General features: G+C 36.2%; 1 protein-coding gene and 1 long non-coding RNA gene across 10 annotated transcripts in view; both read right to left on the bottom strand.

The window, feature by feature from the left end:
* Positions 1-15,341, bottom strand: part of TENM2 (teneurin transmembrane protein 2) — a 1,285,129-nt gene that overhangs the window by 841,420 nt on the left and 428,368 nt on the right. The window lies entirely within an intron of this gene.
* On the bottom strand, positions 4,630-14,965 carry LOC124901126 (uncharacterized). Its single transcript, XR_007059036.1, has 3 exons — positions 11,534-14,965; positions 8,563-8,580; positions 4,630-7,682 (listed from the first exon to the last, which is right to left on the bottom strand). It is a non-coding gene; the product is annotated as an uncharacterized LOC124901126 (long non-coding RNA).

The raw sequence follows: 15,341 nt of genomic DNA, 5'->3' as shown, positions 1-15,341 counted from the left end.
GGAGGTATCTTACGTTAAGGGATTACACACTCCACTTTGCATTTTTCTTTTGGAAATAGACATCAAATAGACTGTTGCTATCAGTGGCATGCATCTTATTAACTCACAATTCTCCTTACCTGGAGTTGTCTTCTTGCAGGGAAGGGAAATGTAAAATAAACATAAGAATCATTCTAGAGAATACTCCAATGTGGACAGAGAGGCTGCCTGATAAATTATTGCTGCAAAGCTCTTTTGCAAAATAAGACATCAAGAGTTGAAAATCCCTTAAAATGTTAGGTATATATCTTTTCACCTATTAGCTTTGGGCCAGTGAAGTTCCTAAAAGCTCACGGCTTAAATCATGGACGTGTTGATCTGCATGAATAACTAGATCTCCTGGGATGCTGATTGGAGAAAATGAGAAATTATTATGTTGAACTGCACATTGTGGATTTCTGAAGTATTTTGAACATTGTAAAATTGCTAGCCACATTATATTTTGGTTAAGATATGAGGTTACATCCTACTGAAGCAGAATAATTGTGCTATTTGTCGAACTAATCACCACTATTGCAAGTGCCAAACAAATACGACGTTTACTTGTAAAAGTCATAAATATATCCTATTAATGGAGAGGGTAGACAAAACATTCTTAAGAATACTACCGGCCGGGAATGGTGGCTCACGCCTGTAATCCCAGCACTTTGAGAGGTTGAGGCAGGTGGATCACAAGGTCAGGAGTTCAAGACCAGCCTGGCCAAGATGGTGAAACTCCGTCTCTACTAAAAATACAAATATTAGCTGGGTGTGGTGGCAGACACCTGTAATTCCAGCTACTTGGGAGGCTGAGGCAGAGAATTGCTTGAACCTGGGAGACAGAGGTTGCAGTGAGCCAAGATCATGGCACTGTACTCCAGCCTGGGCGACAGAGGGAGACTCCATCTCAAAACAAACAAACAAAAAACAGAATACTACCAACAAAATAGTGTGATAAGGAATTTTGTATATACTAGCTCATGTTATATTCACAAGAATCTTATGTAGTAGATGTTCCTATTGTCTATTTTATAGGTAAGGATGCTGAGGTTTATTGTGAACTATCTAGGAGTCCACAGAGCTAATGGACGTGGAAGAGCCATCTTAAATCCAGTTTATTAGTCGCCAACGTCCACACTCTGTCCTGCCACATTACAATGCCCATTGAACGTATCTCCACATATTCACTGGAGCTCTCACTAGAAGTTCAAAGAGGAGGGCCACCTGTTGAGCAGAAGCTTGGCTCTCTTTAAACACCTCAGGGACAACACCCATGCCGAGGCTGGTCTGATCTCTAGTTAAATGGAGCTCTAATAGGCACTTAATTTAAGTTAGCTGTTGACTGAGGACAAGGTTAACGTGTGTACACTGGAAATGTTAATTTCAATATAAGTGACTACTCTATCAGAACAATGCTTTGCAAAACAACCATTAATATTCAAATATAATTACCTTTATTGCTATTGTCAGAAAAACAACACTGAGTAGCATGGATCAGTGGCCTAAGTCAGACTAATATTTCTTTTGAGATATCAACAATGTGGGGGTTTTGTTCCATATGAGGTTAGTTAATTAGCAAATACTCTTAAAGTTTTAGCATAGACGTATTACTGTTTAACCACGACCTCAAAACACCTTTACAATTTTATAAGCCTTTCCCAATTCTTACTATGCTGGTGCCTCCAATCCTAAATGTTAAAGTCCTCTTGTCTCCAATTAATTTAGTTTAGTCTTGTGCTTCAAAAGTATGTGTCCACGTTTTTACTATGGTCTTTAAATAACAATTGAATTAATTCCTTCCTTCACTCATTTCTTTATGCAACAAATATTTTGAGTGTGTGCAACATATCAGGCTTAGTTCTAGGTATATTAGTAAGCAAAACAAAGATTCCTGCCACTCTGGAACTAATATTCCAGTAGGGACAGGGTGATAATAAGAAGAAATTGTGATAGGGGAGTAAATTCTATAGTAGAGAATGATGGTGCTGTCGGAAAAAGACGAGGTATCATGATAAAACAGGGATGGGAAGGCAGTTGCAAGTTTACACAATGGTCAGGGTGGGCCTTATTGAGAAGGTGACATCTGAACTTGAAGGAGACAACATTAGACATGAAGATACCTGAGGCAGAACATTTCAGGCAGGAAGAATACTTAGTGCAAAACTCCCTAAATTGGAAATGGGATTGGCTTATTCAAAGACCGCATGGCTGGAAGTGAGTGAGTGAGTGAGAAGAATACTGGTAGGAGGTGAGGTCATAGAACTTCCAGGGCTCCCCTGCTGAGAAGGGTGTAAAGCCCACTCCACTCCACTTGCCATCATACTTATTACCAGCTATACATGTCCTCATTCACAGTACAGTAGAGAGGCCACCATCCCGGAGTCCACATAGTTTATTTGGTCCCAGAAAGCTTGAATAATTTGACATCATTTAAAAATCAGATTGTTTTTGAGAACTGGATTTTAAGATAGTCTAGAAAAATTAAAAGGTCTCATAGCCTACAATTTCCTTCACACAGGGTAACAATAAGCTCTCCACTTTTCACGGACACGTGCTTTCCAAGTTGCAAACTACTCCTGCATCTGGCTTCCCTATTCCTATTAAGCAACTGGTCACCAGGAATTTTGGTGACCTTTTGCAAAGTATAAAACTCTATACCTACATCTTTTCCTTTTGCCTTCTTTTCGTTTATTATTTTAATTATTACACTTACTTCGAAGTTCAACTTAATTCTAACTCCCTTTATGCCAAATAAATTCTCATTGAAATGTTCCAATCATGCTCTCTGCTGCTGCAAAATCCAGGAATGCTTACTATATTGGTAGAACTTGCTCACTATTGGAAGTCCCCTCTTGTTACTTACAATTTGCCTTTTAAGCTGATTTTAGTTCAAATGAGGGCTGAGTTTTCCCTTTTCGGATAATCTTAACTTCATATCATAAGTATATTTATTCTTGGTTTACTGAAGAGAAGTTGCATAACTCATTTAAAAACATACAGAAAGTGATGAGTAAATCCAGAATTGTAACTTAGGCCTGTCTGACTCTAGAATGGATGCACTTTTCATAGTGTTAGTCAGGGGATGTGCTGAAAATATATTATGTAACTTTGAAAAGGCCATCACTTTGTTTCAGTCATTCTGACCAAGAAGGGCTTTTCAGAAGCTTAAGTGAAACGGGAAAAGATGCTGATGAAATTTTGTCGTTCTAAATACCCATCTGCCCAATTATCTATCTATCTATATTTATTTATTTACTTTGAGACGACGTCTCACTCTTTCACTCAGGCTGGAGTGCGGTGGCACCATCTCAGCTCACTGCAACCTCCACCTCCCAGGCTCAGCCATTCTCCTGCCTCAGCCTCCCAAGTAGCAGGGATTACAGGCATGAGCCACCATGCCCATCTAATTTTTGTATTTTTAGTAGAGGTGGGGTTTCACCACGTTGGCCAGGCTGGTCTTGAACTTCTGACCTCAAGCGATCTGCCCATCTCAGCCTCCCAAAGTGCTGGAATTACAGGCATGAGCCACCTTACCTGGCCTACCAACATATTTAAATAATTATCTATCTATCTATCTATCTATCTATCTACATACACATCTAAGTTTTCATGTGTGTGTGTATATACATATAGTATGTTGTATTTTATGATATGAAACGTATATGTAAATATATACATAATTTTAAGTTTAGGTTGCTTAGTATAGTTATATACTTTAGTCAAATTATCTAATTTCTCAATATGCTTTTATTAGATGATAATGTTTAAACTATCTTGAAGCAATCATAATTTTTTAAGCGACACAGGCACACTTCTATATATGATAATAATTGGTATTTATTCTTGATGCCAAGGGATAGGATGTAATTCCCGCACCTCAACCCACATCACTAATTGCTTTTACCAATGTTGATTTCCCCATCCTTGGCTTTTCAAAATATAATGAAGAAAACCATAAGAATAATGAACTCTTCCTCTTCCCAGCAAACACACGCTTGACATTTTTTATGGAACAAAATGTTGTAAAAAGAAATGTAAAGATTGAATCTAATATTAATCACATAAGGTTTTAAAAGTATGCAAATCTCCATATCTTCCTGTTGGTCACAGATTCTTTATTGTTCATGTCCTGTTCATTGTTCTGGCTACTGCTGTATGGTCAGGAGCTTGTTTGCAAAACTTAGCTTTTCTCAAGCTTCATAGAAGACAATCTAATTTTCCTGCAATTTACCAAATGAAAATATTAAAATATAATATAGCAACAAAGTCACCCTGACAAAGAGGAACAATTAGTAAGTTGAATGTCCACCTTCATTAGGGACTGTAAGTCCAAAGTATTGTATTGAAGAATGGAAAATATTTTGATTCTATACGTTTCTCCAAAGCAATATTTTTTTTTTTTTTTTGAGACAGTTTCACTCTTGTTGCAATGGCACAATCTCGGCTCACCTCAACCTCCACCTCCGGGGTTCAAGCAATTCTCCCGCCTCAGCCTCCCAAGTAGCTGGGATTACAGGCATGTGCCACCACACCCTGCTAATTTTGTATTTTTATTAGAGATGGGGTTTCATCATGTTGGTCAGGCTGTTCTCGAACTCCTGACCTCAGGTGATCCACCCACCTTGGCCTCCCAAAGTGCTGGGATTACAGGCGTGAGCCACCGTGCCCAGCTCTCCAAAGCAGTTTAATTTGATTGTGGTCTAGGTGAGGATGTACGTGTACAAGCACAAATACTTAGTGACACATTATTCAATGCAAATTAATGCAGTAAAACAAATATGAAAATGCAAAATGAAAGGTGGGGTCAGTCTCCAAATGTACACAAAGGGGAGGAGGAACACAAATTATCAAAAAGATGAATATTGAATGCAAATCCACACCAGGGAAACAGCAACACAACCACGTGTAGCCAGGGTGCCAGTGCTGCACGGTAGTTGATGGTTTCACTACAAAGTCAGACAGACCTACTTTTGGGCCCTGGCTCTTCCTCTTACACCTTCACTTTGGTGGGCAAGTTGTTTCACACCTCTGTTTCTTTGACTATAAAAAGGGAATCACACCACTTACCACGTAGGAATGCCATGATGCTTAAACTAGATAATGTATGGAAAGCACTTAGCACAGTACCTGGCACAAAAATTTATAAATTACAATTATAGTTAGCCATCTATGTGTGCTAGGGAAAGGGTAAGATAGAGGAGAGAAAAAGCACATAAGTTCTGTAGGCTGGAATAAGAATAAGCAAAAGGCCTCATGTCACATGGAGGAAATATGAGGGGCTATAATAAAAATTTAAGAGATCCATCTGGCAATTCAGTATATATAGGTTCTACTGGTCTGGGAAGAGATGGCAGAGAGATGGACTAAGAGGGGAGCACTGCACTCCAGTATAGAATGATGGCAGGGGCCAGGGATGGACTGTGCTGGGAAGGAATCAGCAAGTGTTGGTGTTAAATTAGACTTGGAAGGTGAAGGAGGAGAGTCAAAAATAACTCCCAGATAAGAGTGCTAGTGAGCTGGAAGGACACAGAAATGAAGAAGTGACAGACACCCTTCTATTACCTTCAAAGTGAAATGTGCAACTACAGAATTACTGAAGAAGTGTTTCTAAATGTGTAATTCTGGGTGATTAAGATTAGGGACATGGAGAAGGGGCTAAGACATAAAATAAGATCCTAAGACAATATTTGATTATAGATTATCTTTGAAATATTGACATTGAGTTAACAATGGATAAAACAATGACAAGAGAAGAAAAGAAAAACGAAACAATCTATGTAATCAAACATCATTTGATTGATTTGAATGATCTCGAAACAATCATCTGTAATCAAATGAAAATCCTGTTTGAGAAATAAAAGCGATCGATTATACACAGAAAATATCTATAGACAGCTAAAAGAAAAAGGAGTAGTTTTCTGCATGAATCTGGTTTGGAGTTAGAATGTCAGTAAGCATGTTCATTGTACTACTGAATATTACTGTAGCCTGGTAGTCATAAAATGAAAAAACAAAACAAAAACAAAAACAAAAACAAAAACAGCAAGAGAGTAATTCTCATATAATAGTTGTACTGAGGTGACTTCACAGTTATACATGTTTTGGTAATTCTGCAATAAATTTGCCCTAATGTGGTGTCGTGCCAATATTTGCATTGCCAACTGCTGTCATCATAAGCCTTTTAGAGGCACCTGACAGTCCGTTTATCTTGCAAATAGTTGCAAAACAAACAAACAAAAAGTAACGTTATATTTTAAGTTGCTTAAAAACTACTTGCAATTAGGAGCCCCGTATGTATTTAAATCAAAACAACCCCAGCAATGTTTTCAGGATTGCTGTAAATGCAGTACATGGATGAGAATTTACAGTGTTCCATAACAAGGGAAATTGTGATACCAGATTGCATTTACTTTTATCTTACCCAAAGTAACGTTATCTTCAGCAACCATAAAGTAACGGCACTATCATATAAATCTATTTAAAGGAATTGGCACTGTTACAATAAAGGCATCCACACACTGGCTTATTCCCTGAAAATCATCCAAATGCCAATGGCTAAGAAGTGAGACTTTTGATTTCTTCCTGAATCGCTGCTAAGCACCCCCTTCACTCTTACACACATATCCCTCAAACTATGTCAAAAGCAGGAGCAAATTTCCTAACCCAAACTGAAAAGTCCTTGGCTCTCCAAATGACTATAAATTGCATGGCTAAGTGCATATGGCCACAGGGCTGTCACAATTACTTCTCCTGACAATTCATCATAGCATACTAATTCTATAATATCATTACTGCGTCTCTTCTCACTGTACTGATCCAGCCAGCTAATTTAATCAACTAATAATAGATTCAGAAATGGATGCAAGGGGCCCTAGCACTTCAAATTATATTACTAGAGATGTACCACGGCGAAGAGGATACATTCCTCACCATTCAACATAACCTCCAGAAGTTAGGTTTTCCTAATAAGATGGGTGAGATTACTGGTAAAGGTTTCAGTTGAAAAACTTCAACCATAGAATTTTTTCAAAATCAGTACTTTTTTTTTTGCTTCAACAATGTCAACAGAAGGAAAAAATCTAACTTACTTTCTAAGTGCTGGGTTTACTATGGATATTAATAAGACACAGGAAATTCAGAAGTTTTCATAAGAGTAAGAGAAATCAGAGTTCTATGATTAACTGCAAAGTAAGCCATTCAAGAATGGACAATTAATTTTATTAAATTTTAATCTTCTCTGCAAATGTCAATGATAATTAGAAAACATTATTCTTTAACATCACAGTCCATCTTGCATGTCATGAAGAGTAATAAGTTAATTTATTATGAAGGAAAACTAGCCTGAAAACATAATGCTAGAAAGTGTACAACAGGTAAAATACATGCTACAAATATGCATATATCATTTATTTGAATGTAAAGTTAAAGCTGTAGTAGTTTTTTTTCATTTAAAGAGTCACTTATTGGAAAGAATGATACAATTTCCTCCCAGCACTGTTTCATGAAAAGGGACTTACCTATCCTACAGTTGAAATGGTGATAGACAGAAATCTTCCTGTGGCGGACCTGTCAGCCAACTTTGCACCTAGATTTGCTTTGCCATTAACACTTCAGTGAGTGAATGCTGTTCTCTGAGTCCTGGCAAAATTCTTTACCTGTGGATACTTGTGAGGAAAGAGAACCAACTTGCAAAGGAGCTTTTCTCACCAAAGTCTTGAAGCTACCACCCGCCTGATGGAAACTTATAATACAACACAGCTCATTTAGTAAAATATTAACTGATGTACCAAGGTGATATTTCCCAAGCAAATTATGAAAATTTGAATATCGGATTCTTCCACTGATTATTTTTTCCACCAACAGAAAGGATAACTCTTGCTCCTCTGGATGAAGCAACGTTCCCAGAAGCCTGAAGATGAGTGATCTTTAACCAGCAGTGTGAGTGCTGGAAATCGACCTAAGATAGGTTACATTTGATCAGTACCTCTTATTTCCCATTTAAATCATCTGTTAGTGTTTTAAAATCAGGAGACTTCACAGATAAATCTGTATGTCTCACTTTTATTGCAGATCCCAAGATCTGATATTTTCATACACCCAGACACAACAATCAGATAGAGGAAGCTGAGAAGTGGGTGCTCTCTCTCTAGCGAACCAGGGCCCCTACTACCTCCATAAATCACGCCATAAATCACCCTAAATCACTTGCCGAGTGTTAGCTTTTGTTTTTCACCCCATATCAGAACCAATTTTATCCATTTTGCTATCTATATTACATGGACACACCTGTAGCTATTAACATTTCCTAATATTCCTCATTCCAATCAATTTTTTAAAGATCCTTCTACAGTAAAGATTTTTATAAAATATGTATTTACCATAAAATTATTGTTTCTTTTTAAAATATGCTTTTAGATTTTCTGAATATGGTAATTTTACAAGATCATTTCATGCACTTAGAGAGATCAACCTTAAAATTCCATGTAATTGCCTTTATCAGAAAACTTACAGTAAAGTGTATTTCTACAAAAAGTCCGTATCTACCTGGTATGAATCTTTCCTCTGTTAAAAGAGAAAATGAGAAAACTGTCATCGTGATAATGCTTCTGTACAGTTATTTTGAGAAACAAGTATAAATTCAGTAAAATGTCCATCCAATGTGACCCTTTGCTAAATGTGATTCAAACCATGTTTGCCTAGCCTAAATACAAGGCATCTCTGTGAGCACTGTAATATAACAAAACAAATAATTTTCCTTTCATCAATATACAACAGCTTTGTTCATTACTGAGAAACGTTAGGTGGTAAAGTATTGAGCGCTATGCATTTTATGCTTAAATCAATGTACTGTCTTGCAGTTTATGCCACCTAATGTGTTTTTAAGTCATCCGCTACAGAGATCAATGTGATTCTTATTTGATATTCAGTGTTAAGTTCAGCCTCATAAATTTAGAATTGCACTCTGTTATTTTGATGGTTATATATTAACCACGTACTGAAAGTTTTATGATTTTATACTCAGCCTGGCTGTAAATCTTACTGGTTCTATACGTAAAGCATAGGGTCTGGCTTGATTTTTATTGCTCTGCTCAGAAGGAAACGGATGGATGGCTGGATATTTGAGGGAGGTAAACCTACAATGTGTTTGGATAAATACCTCAGGTATGTGAGCCTTAAAGGCATGGTTCAGAAAATTCAAATTAGACATCTCACTGCAACCAGCCTCGTAAGCATGGATAATAATGCAATAGCAAGGTGTCACAAATTGGTAATCTTTTATATTAGTATCCTCAGTGGTATGGGCTTTGACCTCATACAAGTTTATCCATGCTCACTCTGTGGTGAGTTAGTCTGACAAACATGGTTCCAGGTAGGTTAAATAGAGAGAAGAAATTGAATACATCGTATTTCATTACTCAATCAGAGACCTACATGTTATTTCAGAGATATACTAACATTACCTCCTTGAAACAATGAACTAACTTGTAACACTGTAATAGATTGATGCTCACATAGAACAATTTAATTATGTAGAAAACAAATAGAATTGAATTAATACTGATGATCAGAGCCAAAAAATAAATAAATAAACCAGGGTAAAGGTTTTTGAAAATGATGCCAAAAATAGTGCGAAATTAGACACAATAACAAAAATGTTTCTAGATAACTAGTAGTCCTGAATTAAATGAAGATATAGGGCCAATGTACATTTCTAATCCTTCTTTCCATTGAAAGGGATTAACATTTGGCAGGGGCTCAAATACTCATGCTCTCTGAAGATTCCAATTCAGTCCCTCTGCTGTATTTTTGTCATAAATTGAAGTCACTTTTTTTTTTTTTTGCTTTCGATGACATATTTTCAGACTCTGCACTCATCTCCCTAAGTTAAACATGTAACATCTTAAACTATGACTAAACTGACAGACATGACAAAACATTTCAAAGGGAATTCTGCAAGGCTGGGCCAAAAGTTTCATCAATTTGGATTTAGCAGCCTTTAGCAGAAATGCAACAGCCACTGTTTTTTCAAACCATTGGGAAATACAAATTGCCTAACCTTTCTATTTTCCCTGCCATAGTTTTTCCTTGATTACTGATTCAAGGAAGAAGTATGCCTTAAAAAGCATTCCATAATTTCTTTTGCTACTTCTAAGATTGAGTAATAGATAATCTTATCACGGCAAAAAAAGTTGCACACAAACCTAGGTGGTATACCACATCCTCCAGTAATCATGTTTCTTACTGAAAGATGGCTGGTCTCAAACTCCTGACCTCAGGTAATCTACCCACCTTAGCCTCCCAAAGTATTGGGATTACAGGTGTGAGCCACCTTGCCCGGCCTGCTAACCCTAGTTTCTGATTCAGGTGGTCTGGAGTGGGGCCGAAGAATTTCCATATCTAACAAGTCCCTCTCTTTTCTCCTCAGGCTATAATGCTGCTGCTCCTGGGACCCCACTTTCTGAACCATTACTAAAAACACTTCCTAGCTGCTCCTGTTCCTCTTTCTTTCTGAGTCTGTTTCCAAAAACGAAATGTGGTTCAAGTCTAAGAGCTTTGGAGATTCTAAAAGCCCACTGGAACCAGAGGGATCCTGGTGGTCTGCTAGAGTTAAGCAAACTTTTGATAGAGCTTCCAGGTGAACCCTTAAATCCCACTGTACCCAATTTGATAGCTAGATATTTCTTTACCAATCCAGCACCCAGATAACATTTCCTTGGTGAGCTCACTGATAATGTTTTTTATCAAAATACTTGCATTTAAGTAGTAAGTATTTTTCCAACATTCACATTTCTATCTTTTGTCCTTTTCCGCACACATGTAGTTTGATCAGCAGTCAGTCAACACAAATGTATTTAGACATGAATATGATAATTGAAAGATGGAAAAGTTAACTCGTGATTGTTTCAGGTGCATTCGATACATTGATGATGATTCTTGCCAAATGGTTTGAGTTTTAATAACATGATTTTGCAGACCAACAGAGAGAGTTATTAATGTTTCCTAGATTACTTCATAACTTAAACTTCATCCAATCTCCTGGAATCCTGTAGAGATATTTTAAGCTAAGTCTTAAATTGGTCCTCATTATCTCTCTCTCTCTCACATACATACACACACACACACACACACACACACACACACACACTCTCACCTACATATACACATGCACACACAAACACAGACACAACTTGGGTAACAAATATCATAGCCTTTGGAGACTGATAATTTAGACCAACTTCTTGGTCTCTCTTCTAACAATGATACGCCATCTCTTTCAGTTAAAGACTCAGCGTACTCCACAAAGGTTACACTTTTGTTTATGCTTCACAATTAAAGTGGAAAGAAAGACTTTCTCAAATATTATGTGTTTATTGGGCAAAGGAATTTGTAATTGATCTAATAATTGGAAATCCAGTACCTCAGATGATCAGAAATAGCCACATTTATGTAAGTATAATATCCCATGCAAAAGTCAAGTATACTTTACTTTTAAAATTTAGTTTTGATTTTTTACCTCATCACAGTTTCCTATCCTCTCTCAGCCTCAGGGAGTTTATATAATGTACCCAGCAGTTCCCAGTTAAGCAAATGGTGGATTCCGATTTAGAATGCATCTCCATCTAATAACAAAGCCATGCTCTTCTATTGCACAACAATGTGTTTCTAAGTTGACCAAATATGTTCCTCTTTTAATGAAATGTATAATTTTAAAGAATTTTATGGGGAACAAAGGTTCATCTAATCAACCTCAGGTTTCAAGTGTGGGGTTATTTGGTTGTGGCTAGAGGTTAATAGGTGGGTTTGCCACTAAACTACATGCAGGAGTAGCTGCTTATTTTGATAGGACATTCTTTTCCATGCTAAATACAATGCACTGACATATATCTTAAAATACATAAAATTAAAAAGTATATGAACTCTCTTCTTTTAGGACCCAGAAACATTGTATATTTCTTCTATGCCCATGGTCAATCTCTACCTTAAATAATACATAAGAATGACAGGGAAGTTGCATTTCTCTGAGGGATTCTTTCTGGAATAATTTTAGACCTGCTTTATGCATACCAAGGAAGCTGTCAGTTTATTTGCTCTTCAAATACACAGAACTTTATGGGGAGAATATCTGGCAAATCAGAGACTGTTCACTTAGACACATTTTTTTTTTTCTTTTGTAAGACACAGAAGCTGAATTCTCTATAATAATTTATTCCTTATTTGGAAGTTTTGCTAATTTTTATAAATGAGTTGCAGAGAATGCAGATATGATAAAGATGCTGCAAAGAAGATTTTTATGTCTATACTACAAAATGGAATAAATCAATTCATCAAGCATATGGCTTATTAGGCTTAAATAGCTCTTTTCCAAGATGATTCTGAGCACCATATTTTGAAAGATAAGGTAGTGGGTTGTTGTTTTTGGATATTTGCCTTCATAAAGATAGGCCATCTGTCTCAACAAGTGAAAAGAGTTGAATGCTTTGATTGCTATTTTTCTAATCAAGACAAATTCAAACATATTTTAACATACTGATTAACCAGATCTGACATTATATCTTGGAGGTGTTTGCTGGTATCATCACTGTAAAAATTTCATGCTGGCCACAAAATTGTCTACATGCTCCATACTGGACAGGTAAGAAGTTTATTTTCTGATGGTAGAGAGAAATTCATGCTAAAGCAATGAAGCTACATCATAATGAAATCCTAAAATTTGTAATTTGTTTAGTTGAGTTATTAAATTAATATTAATTACAAATTTCAAATCCTAATTTTTTGATACTTTCCTTATGATAAGCTTTTACTTCTAAAAAAACTAACAAAGAAGATTCTCAACATCACAAGAAAATTCCACAGTGAAATAGCATCATCAGTGTTAACAATTTCATCATGGATCACTGATACAACTGGTATTTTGCTATTATCAATGTGCAGAAACACACACACACAAACACACACACCCCTACCTGAATAAAAATGGCACAAGCACATTTAACACTACCAATACAATATACTTTTACTTAAACATGCTTTCTTTGCATACAGGAATTTTTTATTATTTAACAAATCAGAAAAATGAAAAACACAAATAAAATCATCTATAATCCTATTATGTATGCATGCCGCTGTTAATATTTTTGAGCACATGCTTCCAGTCTCCTTTCTGTGTGAGTTTCTCTTTGTTTTTTTAAAGCTTAATTGGTTCTATAATGTGTAAGCCAATTTTTAGGCTGCTTATTAACTTAACAATAGATGAATGAGTACTTCCCTATGTTATTAAAATTTCACAATTACTTTTAAAATTGCCCCTTCAGGATATGAAAGTTCCTTGTACTGTTTTTACAACTTTTTTGTTAAAGTTTATCCATCCTGCTTAGCCCAGACATTCTCATCACATTTTCTTGAGTGCTAAAAGCTGAGAGAAATCAAACTCTAGTCTTTAGTTAATATTACACCCTTTTTCACTGCACACAACTATTACTCCTGATCATAAGAATAATTATTTGTAAAAACTATAATTGGTTTAGTTTCTTATTCTTACTGCTGTATTCTTTTCAAGTGACATTGCTCAGTTTCTAGACAGGTAGACTTGAGTTCATTTTTATGAATAGCATGACCATCAATATATTTCCCAAGTGACTTCGAGTAAAGTCATATTTCAAGTTTTAATCAATGAGGTTACCTTAGTATATTAAATGATAATACCCTAAAAAATGATTGCACACATATTTGCATTTCAAAAATTGTATGTGTGTGTGTGTATATATATATATATATATTAGATTTGGGAGAAAATACATGGAAAGCATACAGGTCTAAAACACCATGACATATATAATAAAATGCTATGCCATATGTAAGATACTCTGTCATATATATATTAGACATATATATACACTATAGATACATATTAAATTATATATATATATGTATAAGATTTTGGGGGAAATACATGGAAAGCCTGCAAGTCTAAAATACTATGTCTTGGCTGATACCAGGCCCAAAAGTAAGTACTTTAGCACATCTCTAATACACTCAATAAGCTTGCTATTATTAACTAAAGACTGAATTTCAAGTACATTATGGCATCACTTGAAGTAATAGCAACTGAAATGTACCTACTTAATGGAATCGATCTTTCATAAAGACCGCAGTAAAGTATTATCAGAAGTCACTTATTGAACTTTATTTCTCAATGATATAATAAAGAGTAACATGTCAAGAATAAAAATGTCATTTATCACCTGAAGCTCTGGCACCTCAGAAATGCTATCAAGAAGTAGGGGGCATTCTTTGAGCAATACAACAAGAGTAAGAATTTGTCATCTACTAGAGCTTCTTGCCAAAGAGATCCTCAGTTCATTCAACACCCAGGTCCAAACCCTGAGGTGAGTTAGACATATATATTCTTGAAAGACAGCAATATTTATTTCATTGCTTTTTCCAAGCAAACTCCTTAACACCTCCAGTTCCAAGCTTCCTTCTACTTTTAGGAGTTGAAATGATTGGAAAGATCATACTTTGGCAGAGGTGGATTTATTTTCTCTATTGTGTTTCTATAGTTTGTCTCTGATATGTTTGGTTTTCAATGTCAATTTGCTAGATTTGATATATTCAAATATAACACACAATCCACAATGGGCCACAGTGGAATAAGGAAATGCAATGGAGTTTAGATATTTCCCCAGAAGAAGAATGAGAGTTTGATGAATTCATTGTATGAACTTCCAAGTACGGATGTGATCAGAATGTATATACTGACACCTCTTTTCATTTTTAGTCCCTTAATATTAAATGAGGATGGTTTTCCTTTCTAGGAGGAAGGTCCATTTGAGTGAAGTTGGAAATAAATGGCCTGTAGGCCAATTTCTGCCAGTTTGTGGTTTTTTGTTGTGGTTATTGTTGAGACAGAGTCTCAGTCTGCTGCCCAGGCTGGAGTACACTGGCATGATCTCTGCTCACTGCAACCTCCACCTCCCACATTCAAGCAATTCTCCTGCCTCAGCCTCCAGAGTAGCTGAGATTACAGGTGTGTGCCACCACACCAGCTAATTTTTGTATTTTTAGTAGAGATGGGATTTCACCATGTTGGCCAGGCTAGTCTTGAACTCCTGACCTCAGGTGATCTGCCCGCCTCAGCCTCCCAAAGTGCTGGGATTACGGGCATGAGCCACCACATCTGGCCATTTTTTTTTCTACAAAAGATTCTTTTTCATTAGATTTAATTAATTCAGGTAGTAAGAGACTTCACAGTGTTAAAAAATATATTGATATCTGGACTTACTTGGAAAATTACAAGATCTGGGAAATTCTGTACTAATTCC

This window comes from Homo sapiens, chromosome 5 (genome assembly GCF_000001405.40).
Source record: "Homo sapiens chromosome 5, GRCh38.p14 Primary Assembly".
Taxonomy (NCBI): Eukaryota; Metazoa; Chordata; class Mammalia; order Primates; family Hominidae; genus Homo; species Homo sapiens.
This window is presented reverse-complemented; position numbering and strand designations above follow the sequence as displayed.